The following is a 12,399-nucleotide window of genomic DNA, read 5'->3' on the forward strand; positions in this document are numbered from 1 at the left end:
AGTTGTGGTGTGGCCACCCCTGCGCTTAACTGTTGATTGACCATAGACGTGTAAATGCAGACGTTGCCTGCCAACGATCCGGGCATCAGGCTGAGAATGTGCGCTAGGGTTGCAAGGCATCTGTTTGGTAAAAGCCATGTAACAGGGAGGACACAGTCTTTTCAGCCTGTGCCCAGTTTCTCCGTGTCTCTACTAAAATCCAGATGTGCTGAGCTGCAACCTCAGCCTCAGCAACATCACCGTGGGAAATTACTGTTTGGCATTTTGGTATTTCCACAGAGGGTCAGCTGCGTCCACCGCCTTGCCCTTTGCCATTGCTGTTGCTAAAGCACACCATGCCTTGTCCTTCTTCTCATTCTTGCAGTTCTTCCTCCCACGACCTGTCCAGTTCCTGGGAGCAGACGAACCTACAGCGCACCTTAGATCACTTCAGCTCCTTGGGGAGCGTTGACAGCCTGGACCACCCCTCCAGTCGCCTCTCGGTGGCCAAGTCCAACAGCAGCATCGACCACCTGGGCAGCCACAGCAAGCGCGACTCGGCCTACGGCTCCTTCTCCACCAGCTCTAGCACTCCTGACCACACCTTGTCCAAAGCCGACACGTCCTCCGCAGAGAACATCCTCTACACTGTGGGCCTCTGGGAGGCTCCCAGGCAGGGTGGCCGGCAGGCCCAGGCCGCAGGCGACCCTCAGGGCTCGGAGGAGAAGCTCAGTTGTTTCCCGCCCAGGGTCCCCGGTGACAGCGGCAAAGGCCCCAGGCCAGAGTACAATGCCGAGCCCAAGCTGGCTGCCCCTGGGAGGTCCAATTTTGGGCCAGTCTGGTATGTTCCCGATAAGAAGAAAGCACCATCATCCCCACCTCCTCCCCCTCCCCCTCTCCGCAGTGACAGCTTTGCTGCCACCAAGAGCCACGAGAAGGCCCAGGGCCCTGTGTTCTCAGAGGCGGCTGCGGCACAGCACTTTACGGCCCTGGCCCAGGCTCAGCCTCGTGGTGACCGGAGACCAGAGCTCACCGATCGGCCTTGGAGGTCAGCACACCCGGGGAGCCTCGGGAAGGGATCGGGAGGCCCGGGCTGCCCACAGGAGGCCCACGCAGACGGCAGCTGGCCGCCCTCCAAGGATGGAGCTTCCAGTAGGCTGCAGGCCTCTCTGTCCAGCTCAGATGTGCGCTTCCCTCAGTCTCCTCATAGCGGCCGACACCCTCCCCTATACAGCGACCACAGCCCCCTCTGTGCTGACAGCCTTGGGCAGGAGCCAGGGGCTGCCAGCTTCCAGAACGACAGCCCTCCTCAGGTGAGGGGGCTCAGCAGCTGTGACCAGAAGCTGGGGAGCGGCTGGCAGGGTCCCCGGCCCTGTGTGCAGGGAGACCTGCAAGCAGCACAGCTCTGGGCGGGATGCTGGCCTTCTGACACAGCCCTTGGAGCCCTCGAGAGTCTTCCCCCACCCACGGTGGGCCAGAGCCCACGCCATCACCTACCTCAGCCTGAGGGTCCTCCGGATGCCCGCGAGACAGGACGGTGTTACCCGCTGGACAAAGGGGCCGAGGGCTGCTCCGCGGGAGCCCAGGAGCCTCCCAGGGCCAGCCGTGCAGAAAAAGCCAGCCAGAGGCTGGCAGCCAGCATCACGTGGGCAGATGGGGAGAGCAGCAGGATCTGCCCGCAGGAGACGCCCCTGTTGCACTCCCTGACCCAGGAGGGGAAGCGCCGGCCTGAGAGCAGTCCAGAGGACAGCGCCACCAGACCGCCACCGTTCGACGCCCACGTGGGCAAGCCCACCCGAAGAAGCGACCGCTTTGCCACCACCCTGCGGAATGAGATCCAGATGCATAGAGCCAAGCTGCAGAAGAGCCGGAGCACAGTGGCTCTGACTGCAGCAGGGGAGGCGGAGGATGGCACCGGCCGCTGGAGGGCCGGGTTGGGAGGTGGCACCCAGGAAGGACCCCTCGCTGGCACCTATAAAGACCACCTGAAAGAGGCCCAAGCCCGGGTCCTGAGGGCCACGTCCTTCAAGCGCCGCGACTTGGACCCCAACCCAGGAGACCTATACCCGGAGTCACTGGAACACCGGATGGGGGATCCAGACACTGTCCCCCACTTCTGGGAGGCAGGCCTGGCCCAGCCACCCTCATCTACAAGTGGCGGGCCCCACCCGCCCCGCATCGGAGGCCGGAGACGGTTCACAGCTGAGCAGAAATTGAAGTCCTACTCGGAACCTGAGAAGATGAACGAGGTGGGCCTCACGAGGGGCTACAGTCCTCACCAGCACCCCAGGACATCTGAGGATACTGTGGGCACGTTTGCTGACAGGTGGAAGTTTTTTGAGGAAACGAGCAAACCTGTTCCCCAGAGGCCTGCCCAGAAGCAAGCTCTTCACGGAATCCCGAGAGACAAGCCAGAGAGGCCGCGGACAGCGGGCCGCACATGTGAGGGCACGGAGCCCTGGTCGCGCACCACCTCCCTTGGGGACAGCCTCAACGCTCACAGCGCAGCGGAGAAGGCAGGGACTTCAGACCTGCCGCGGAGGCTCGGCACCTTTGCAGAGTATCAGGCCTCTTGGAAGGAACAGAGGAAACCTCTGGAGGCCAGGAGCTCTGGGCGCTGCCACTCAGCGGATGACATCCTGGATGTGAGCCTGGACCCACAGGAGAGGCCGCAGCACGTTCATGGGAGGTCCCGGTCTTCACCGTCCACAGACCACTACAAGCAGGTAAGCATGGAGCCACAGCCCCCTTGACCATCATCTTAACCCAAGGACAGGACACACCCAGAATGCAGTGGCTGACGCCAGGGCTACTCAGCTCCAGCTGTGCGAGCATTTACCTTTTCCAGATCTCCTAGTGTCCTCTGTTAGAGGTATTTGGGGACAAAGTTGACACCTTCAAGGCAATTTAAACTGCCATATTCCCGAAAACCCACATTTTTCATTCTCGTTCTCGTTGCCATAATCTCTGGCTTTAACTGAGTTTCCCCTTAAGTAGCTTGCTCCTACCTTCATACTCAGCAAAGAACTTGGAGGGAGAAACTATGGAAAATGATAACTAACGCCTCTGACATGGAAATGTGTGGTTTATGTAAAAGCTTAAAATGACATACAGTAGCCACTTTTCAAACACTGATGGATGACCTTTAATATTTATAGTATTTGGGTTTTTTTAGTATTCTGTTTTTTATTTGCAAGTATTTTCAAGGATTGCTCTGGGACAAAATGTATTTAAAACACATTAAGTGATTGCACTTTATTAAGGTGAGAGTTTTGATGGTGAGAGTTAATGTCCAGCTTTCTAGAAAACTGCATATTTCTTAGCCCTGCTTCAAAGTGAACAGTCTCTTTCTCTCTTGCACCTACCCCCTTTGAAAGCTTTTTCTCCCTATTACATCTGCACTTGCACATCTCAAAGAAAAAAATGTTCCACAATGATAGATGCAGTTTCTTTTTAAAAGAATCCAGGGTGGGTGCGGTGGTGCATTTGCAGTTCTAGTACTTTGGAAGACCGAGGAAGGATGATCACTTGAGGCCAGGAGTTCCAGACCAGTCTGGGCAACAAAGCAAGACCTTATCTCTACAAAAAAAAAAAAAAGAAAAAAAAAACTTAAGACAGGTGTGGCGGTGCCCAAGGAGGTTCAGGTTGTGGCGAACTGTGTTCTCACCACTATACTCCAGCCTGGGCAAAAGAGCAAGACCCTGTCTCAAAAAAAAAAAAAAAAAAAAGAACCACTAGTAATTTAATACAAGATACCTAATAAGTGCATGGAAAGAAGGCTGCTGGTTTGCTCTGTGGCGTCCCAGCCCTGAAAATCCACACAGATGCTGTGAGTGTTTATTTCCACTGTTGGATACCCTGGCTTGTGGCTATTCAGCATGACCTCTGAGAATTCCATGCTTGCTCTGTCAGGAGCAAAGAATCCCAGGCTCTGACGAGTACTAGAGCTTGAGGCTTCACCGCTGTAATTTGTGACCAGCTGTATTTTATTTTATTTCTTTTGGCCAATTGTGCCACACGGTTTTACAGGCTTCACGTAGGAGTTGTTTCCTGCCCAGAACAGAAGTGGACGTGGGGTCTTATTTCAGTCATCTCAATGAAATGCTTTGTAGAACTGCCCTGGCAAGGCAAACCCACAAATGAGGGCTTTCATAATCACAGATGTCCTGAGGAAGGCAGCTTGAGGACTTGGTGTCTCATTATGTTGCCCTTTGCAGGAAGCTTCTGTCGAACTGCGAAGGCAGGCAGGGGACCCCGGCGAGCCCAGAGAAGAGCTTCCCTCCGCAGTCCGGGCCGAGGAGGGACAGTCCACGCCGAGGTGGGTGAAATTTGGATTCAGAGTTACTGAAGAGGCGTCTGAGGGTGGGCTTCTGTACGATGGGTGGGTGCTTGGTTAACATGGCTAGATGTCTGGCTTTTGCCAAACCCAAAGCGGCTGAAATCCGGCGTGATTTCTAGCATCCCTGACGTACTGGAGGTCTGGGCAGAGCCTGTGCACCCTGCAGCCCTGCCTGGAGACACATCCCAGGGCGGGGAGGCCTTCTTACACGGCGGTGACATTTTTTGGTTCTTAAAATGGCTACTGTGTTTTCCGCACGGTGAGACTGCTTATGGAGACATAATGAGAAGTCCAGTTGAACATACTGGAGCTGCACGCTTTGCACAGAGCGCCTTATGGAAGGGCAGCTTTAGCTATCTAGCACACAGCTGTGTGCCTAGCCGCGGCCTGGAAATCAGAGTTGCCTCTAAGGATTGTTAGTAAGAAAGGAACAGGGCAGGCCTTCCTAAATTGGACCTAGTTAATGAGTTAATTTTGAGCTTTAAAATAGAAATCGAGTTAGTCACCTCCCAAAGAGAGGCTTCAAGCATCTGCAGGAACTGTGGCAGCAGCAGGAGATTAGAGCGTTTTGTGCCATAATTCCAGAATGTGCGCCGTAGCCGCTTAGTTGAGACAAGGACAGGGTTAGATTAAATACATAGTATAATCTGTGCTGGGTGTGGTGGTTCACACCTGTATTCCCAGCACTTTGGGAGGCTGAGGCAGGTGAATCGCTTGAGCCCAGGAGTTCAAGACCAGCCTGGGCAACATGGTGAGATCCCATCTCTACTAAAAATAGAAAAAAAAAAATTAGCCAGGTGTGGTGGCAGATGCCTGTAGTCCCAGCTACCCTGGAGGCTGAGCTACTCGTTCAAGCACGAGAATCGCTTGAACCTGGGAAGTGGATGTTGCAGTGAATGGGGATTGCGCCACTGCACTCCAGCCTGGGCAACAGAGCGAGACCCTGTCTCAAAAAAAAAAAAATAGTATAATCTTCCCCTTCATCACACGAGGAGGGCAGGCAGAGAGTGTGCGTCTCTACAGAAGATGTGGTGCAATCTTGTTTCAAAAAGGCGGATGGAGGGATGGGAGTAAATGCACGACAGGGTCCCCGGGTGTGGATTTTTCTGTCGCCTTGAGAATGTTGTGTGATTGCCATGACATTCACATTAAACACTGACCTCAAAACTCAAGGTTCTGTTGCAGAAATTACCAATTTAAAAGTTTGCTTTCAAGAGCCTCATGTAATGGGGTTTTATTTCATTTGGCCTTAAACAGAGCTGTTATCCTTCTACAAGGGGATCAAATATTTATGTGACTCTGCAACGACAGGATTGATATTGTGTGTGTGCTTGTGTAGGAAGTCTCTGCAGTTACTTAACAGACTCTGAGGCTGAAACCAAGAATGCGTGGGTCAGAAAGGCCGACGAATAATCCACCTACAGAATTTAGCTGTGTCTGAGAAGCACAATTAGAGCTTTATGACTGTGGATTCCAAGTAGGTCACGTGCCGAGCACCAGCTGCAGTCTGTTTTCCAAGCCAGCTCCCAGGCCGTTGAGGCTGGCCGTGCAGTGCATCGTGGGCAGTGCTCGATGGGCTCTGCACATGCGGGCCTTGCTTTGCCCGATGCCACCAGTGTATCATCTGTGCAGAGGGCACCCGTGCTGGTGAGAGTGTATAGCTCTGCTGTGCATGGAGGGGGTCGCCCTGAACAGCTGTCACGTGCAGGCTGTGTGTGAGTGAGTGAATGGCACTGTCGATACTGAAAGGGTCGAGAGGAAGCGGGGCCCCCTGCTTCATTCATCAAGGCCATGTCTCCCAGCAGACTGCATAACCACTCCAAAGAAATTAGTTCCAGAAACTCTCTGCTTTTGAGCTACCAACCCAGCAATTTTCAGAATTGTTGGGTGCGGTTTTTTTTTTGAGTGGTGAGGCGCGATGAAATTCGAGAATATGTAGGTTGAAAAGTTGTTTTCAACTTTTTTCAGAGACTCTTTAATTTCTGAAGGACCAGCAAGAAAGAATACACTTGAAAAATTTCAATGGAGAATAATAGAAGTCAAAGTTCAGGCAAGGGATTGTTCTTTGCCCACCAAAAAGAAAATCTAGAATACAAAGGTTTGAAGATACCCAGTGTTTTGCATAAGTTTCAAATAACGTAAACATGTCTGTGTAAATCATATGAAGTGCTGCTCTGATAATCGATGCGTAGCAAAAAGTATGTATTGTATTCTGTTTGGATAACAAAAGAATGTTGAGATCGGAATTGTTTTTTGTTGTTGTTGCTCATGTGAACCAAATAGAGATAACATTTTTTGTGAAGTTCAAGATCCTGTTAATATAAAGACAAGTAGGGCAGATTGAAGTGATGATACTTTTTTTTTAAGTTACATGATGTTTCAGAAGCTCAGAGGAGATAGAGCAAAGTGACTTCTGGCTGGGTTATGGGAGAAACAGGTGGCGTTTGAGCTAAAATAGAACTGAACCTGAGGGAGCAGACCCAGCACGTTTGCTTCCCTCCAGCTCTTCTGTCCTGAACAGCCCACCGCACCCCAGCCCCCACCCCCACTGCCATCAGAGGCTTCACCTCAGACCCACAAGCTCAGGCATCATAGCCAGCTGGAGCCTGCTTTGGGGAAATGCTCTCTCCTGCTGACTTGGGGCCCCTTGAATGCTGGGTCTGTTTCCTAGTGTGGCCATAACAAACTCCCCAAGACTGGGGGACTCAAACAACAGAAGTGGATTCTCCCACAGTCCTAGAGGCTGGAAGTTCCAGAGCAAGGTGTGAGCAGGGCTGGTTCCTCCTGGGGCCTCTCTCCTAGGCTTGTAGATGCCGTCTTCTCCCTGTGTCCTCACAAGGTCGTCCCTCTGCGCATTTTTGTATCATTTCTTCTTATAAGGACCCCAGTCCTATTGGATCAGAGCCCTCCCCAATGGCCCTAATTACCTAATTTTACCTTAATTACTTCTTCTAAGGCCCTGTCTTCCAATACAGTCACATTCTGAGATACTAAGAGTTATGGCTTCAGCACATTGATTTTGTGGGGCACAGTTCAGTCCCTAACACTGGGAGAAATGTCCCTGCTTCTCCATTCTACCTTTATAGTAACCACTTCTACCTGCTGTCAGCTCTCTCAGGAAGTGTCATCCTACCCTTGAGCTGATCAGGCTTTACGTTCATGACAGATGTGAAAGCCTTTAAGATGAAGGGAAGAGGGAGCTGTCACCCTGTGGGTGGCACAGAAGAGGGGCATTTGGCAAAACCTGACTGGAGGGCTTTTTGAGAAACCTGTCTGGAGGGTTCCTTGGCACCATGCAACTGAAGGCTGACAGCTCTGCACACCTTCTGGTTCAGTCAATCCATCTTTAAGAGTTTACCTTGAAAGTGGACATCCACTGCCCCATGAATGTGCTAACCTCTTCAAACTGGGATGGTTTGGCAGGGGGACAGTGACTCTTAAACTCACATCACGGATGTATTTGTACACCTTCACTATTCCTTGCTGTCTGCTGGGCTGGACCGTTGGCTCCTGGAAGATGGGATTTTACTTTTTCATTTCTCAGTACCCCGTACCTGACATAATTCCTGCACAGATTACATGCTCAATAAATGGTTGGATGGATGGAGGGACTGGTGGATGGACAGATGGGTGGTTGAGTAGACAGATGGATGGACCAGTCCTCAGGTAGATAGTTGGAGGGTGGGGAGGGTGGGTGGATGAATAGTTGGATGGATGGAAGGGTAAGTGGATAGATGGATGGATGGATGCATGGATGGATACATGGATGAGATGTAGGGATGCATGGATGGATAGATGGATGAATGGAAGAGTAAGTGGATGGATGGATAGATGGGTGTGTGGATGGATGCAGAGGTGTATGGATGGATGGATGGGAGGGTAAGTGGTTGGATGGACGAATGGAAAAGTAAGTGGGTGGGTGGGAGGATGGATGGATAAGTAGATGGATGGATGAAAGGGAGGGTGAGTGGGTGGATAGATGGATGGATAGAGGGGAGGGCAAGTGGATGGATGGATACATGGGTGCATGGATGGATGGAGGCATGGGAAGGTGGATGGATGAGTGAATGGGAAGATAGAAGGATGGGTAGGTGGATGTATAAACAGATGGATTGGTGGCTGAATGGATAAATACCAGGCTGACCTTCCTTGAGTTAGTCTTTCTTGATTGTGGTGAATAATCTTTCCATATTGGTACATTGTGTGTCCTAAAATTTTATTTAGAATTTTAGTTTACACACTAGTAAGTGAAATGGCCTTTATTTATCCTTCTGCACTAGCATGGCATTTGGAATCAAGAAGACATAAACATCTCAAAATAAATTTGGTAGCACAGATTTGTTTTGGGTATGAGATTTTAGACCTTGTAGGAAAGTTTAGAGGTACCACATTTGTTCGTTGCTCCTCAATTTCGAGAGGCCTTGGGTGAGGACTGTGTTCTGGGTGGCTCCAGAGACTGGCACTGAAATGAGATCTGGGGGCGGCCCCCTGGAGCTGTGGGTGCTGGCAGTGTCTTCCTTCTGTGCCTTCTTGCAGCCACTTCCGCCCCCGCCTGCAGGAGCCACTGCCAAGCACTGATGAGCTGGCACTGACCTCAGGCTTGTATTTTGTTGGGACAGATGGGAGGGGAGGCAAAGAAAGAGAGTATATCCTAAATCCCAATACCAGCTGCAAAATTGAATGCATACGAAATAGAGCTCTTTAGGGAAAAATTTGCTTTCATATAATATGTATAAACAAGCTAAATGAACCTGAGGGTCATCTTCCTGGATGTTTTCCCTGAGAGGTGACTTGGTGTACAGAGATTCATGTGAAGACCAATTTTTCATTTACAAAACAAGCTCCTTCATGTAGATTTCAGAATAAGTAACAGAGATTTATCATCCAAGCTCTCCCCCTCATTTGTCACTTTAGGGCAGATGTTTGCTTTCCCTGGCCTTCAATTAGCTCAGGGCAATTGAAGCTTTCCATTCTGAGCTGCTGTGCTAGGTAATTATGAATAGACTGTGCTGGATCGGGTCAGGATAAAAAGGTGAAACTTGATCTTGGAATTTTGTCAGGGCAGAGCCCAGCATTCTGCATAGCTTTGTACAGTGTAGTACTGCATGCTGAGCAGAAAGGTTCTTGTGCAGGGAGTACTTGCGGATGTAACACCCTCACCCCAGAAGGGATAAACGGTAGCTGTAGGAGAGAGCCTGCGGCATGGGTCTAGCGGACTTCCCTTTATGTCTTTTTTTGATGTTGTTTTTTGAGACAGGGTCTCGCCCTGTCACCCAGGCTGGAGTGCAGTAGTGCGACCTCTGCTCACTGCAGCCTCCACCTCCTGGGCTCACGTGATCCTCCCACCTCAGCCTCTGGAGTAGCTGGGACTATAGGTGCACACCACCATGCCAGCTAATGTTTGTATTTTTTTTGTAAAGATGAGGTCTCACCGTGTTGCCCAAGCTGGTCTTGAACTCCTGGGCTCAAGCGATCCACCCATCTCAGCCTCCCAAAGTGCTGAGATTACAGGTGTGAGCCACCACACCTGGCCTTGTTTTTATGCCTTACTTTGCAACTACAATTTCCCCTTACATTTATACCCATGGGGACTTTAAGAAACCCAGGACCGAGACAGGCGGCCACCCGTTTGTTTACTTTTTGGTTTGGTCGCGTGATTCTAGATTATTTAGAAGGAATAGCTTTCAGGTGATAGTTTATGGTTACAGGATTTCGGCTAAGGAGGAGAAGCGGGAGCAGGGAGGCAGATCCACAAAGCCCTCGTGTGGAGGGAGAAGTGTGCAAAAGGAGGGTGAAAGTGACCAATGCCCCAAGATGCCAGAGCTGAGGGAAGCCAGAGGGAAATGCAGAGGAAAATTTAACTCAGGCATCTCAGTTCTAGATGGGGCAGGTAAGCAGTCTTCTACAAACAGAATTTGTGTCATTGAGCAGGGCACAGTGGCACGTGTCTCTAATCCCAGCACTTTGGGAGTCTGAGGCAGGAGGATCACTTGAGTCCAGGAGTTCGAGACCAGCTGGGGCAACCTAGCAATACTCTATCTCTACAAAAAATACAACAGTTGCTGCCCCATGGTTGGGTGCCAACATACGTAGCTGTACTCGCACAGGATCCTTGATCCCTCATGTGACTCCTAGGCTGTGGCCTGAGACTTGCCTTTCCAGAAGAATCCAGCCCTGTGGAAAGCTGCCCCTTTGTTTCCCAGCAGCCCCATCCCTGGAGCCCCCAGCGGCCTCTCTTGGGGGAGAGACTCCCGTAGCACGTGCTGACGTGGCAGCCCCGCTCTGCTCTGCCTCTCCTCTGGCCTCCTTTCTTGTCAGCTGGCTGCGTTCTTCAAAGCTCTCAGCCTCTGGGCCGACCTTGGCTGCGTTCGCATGTTACGGGATCCTTTGGGGCTTTCACCTTTCTCCAGAGAGCTACCTGGAAACATAGATGTCCATTCTCCCCTTTAGCTTCTTCCAGCCTCCATTCCTCTTGGCTGTGTCCTAGTCCAGTCCTCCACCCAGATTGGGCTGAGGTGACACAGACATCCACCCAGAAGGCTGTACAGATTGATAACCGATTGATTCATTCAAAGGGTCTTGCTCTGTCACCCAGGCTGGAGTGCAGTGGCACAATCATGGCTCACTGCAGCCTCAACCTCCAAGCTCAAGTGATCCTCCCGAGTAGCTGGGATCACAGGCATGCGCCAGCACACCTAGCTAATTAAAAAAACAAAAAAAGTTTTTGTAGAGAAGGCCTTGCCATGTTGCTCAGGGTGGCCTCAAACTCCTGGCCTCAAGTGATCCTCTTGCCTCAGCCTCTCAGAGTGCTGGGATTACAAGGGTGAGCCACCACACCACACCCAGCCAATGTGTTCATTTTTAAAGTTTGACTTAAGAGTCCCATAGATTCAGTGTCTTATGTGGCAGTTAGGTCCTTGCAGTTAGTCTCAGAAATCGATTTAGCTCATCTGTTTTCTGAAGGCCCACACATTTGAAATAAAAAAGGAAATAGTTCTGAGTCACCTCCTTCTCAATATAAATAGAAAATGCATTCAAATATTCCCACAAGTTTTGTGTCTTTTAAATCTGCACAAACCCAAAGAATTCCTAGAGGAGGCCGCCAGAGCTAGCAGCACGTGTCAGGTCTGCATCCCACCGGGCCAGCTGAGCAACCCGCTTCAGGCCCCTGCATACCACACAGCTCACCACCGCCTCCAACGCCAGGAGAGTCCAGAAGGCCGGAGGGCGAGGGAGGACTGACGCGTGGGCGGTGACGGCGCGGGAGCCAGTGATGTATTTCTGCTTTGGGCTTTCTCGCACGTGGCACTTGGAGCACATCCTTGGGAACATGTCTGTCCTCTTTGCCAGTTTAAATTTTTGTGTGTTCGTTTCCATACTAGCTCTTAGAATCTAAATCAAGTGTTGTGGATGGTGTGCAAGACCATGGCTGTGTATGTGTGTGTGGGAGTCTCATTGACCACAGTGCTGACACAGTTTCCCTTGGTGGAAGTAAAGAGTAAGTTCAGGACTCCCCTGTAAATGATGTGCTCCCCATGGATGAGGGACAGGAAGAACATCAGGGTACCGTGCCAGCAGAGCTCTGTGCCCTGTTAGTCGAAACAAAAGTGATGGCTGAGATGAGTCCTTCTGTGGCACCCAGGAAACTTTGATAGCTGGGCCAAGAAGCAGCGGCACTGCAGTGCCCTGGGCCGCGAGCATCATGGTTTATGCTCAGCAAAGCCACATCACCTGTCATATAGACCTGACATCAGCTTTACAGTTTTGCTTGCATATAACTTGCAAATTTTGTTTTGTGTTTTATAGCCTAAGAACCATTAAAATAAGGAAACAGATTTTATATAGAGACATTTAGCAGTCTAATAAAAAAAAATAAAAATCACATATTGTATGATGCCATTTATATAAAATGTCCAGAATAGGCACATCCGTAGATAGAAAGTAGATTAGTGGCTGCCAGGGGTTAAGAGGGGAGAAGTGAGGGAGAGACTGTTCATGGGCGTGGGGTTTCTTTCTGGAGTAATGAAAATCCTCTAGAATCTGATAGTGGTGATGGTGACTGCTGTGATATACTAAAAACT

General features: G+C 50.7%; 1 protein-coding gene across 2 annotated transcripts in view; it reads left to right on the forward strand.

Annotated features, from left to right (window-relative positions):
• Positions 1 to 12,399, forward strand: part of SHROOM2 (shroom family member 2) — a 163,015-nt gene that overhangs the window by 107,565 nt on the left and 43,051 nt on the right. For both annotated transcript variants that reach the window (NM_001649.4, XM_005274500.5), the window contains exons 4-5: positions 365 to 2,705; positions 4,197 to 4,297. In NM_001649.4, coding sequence (NP_001640.1) covers positions 365 to 2,705; positions 4,197 to 4,297 — 2,442 coding nt within the window. The remainder of the gene's footprint in view (positions 1 to 364; positions 2,706 to 4,196; positions 4,298 to 12,399) is intronic.

Source organism: Homo sapiens, chromosome X, assembly GCF_000001405.40.
Source record: "Homo sapiens chromosome X, GRCh38.p14 Primary Assembly".
NCBI classification, from domain to species: domain Eukaryota; kingdom Metazoa; phylum Chordata; class Mammalia; order Primates; family Hominidae; genus Homo; species Homo sapiens.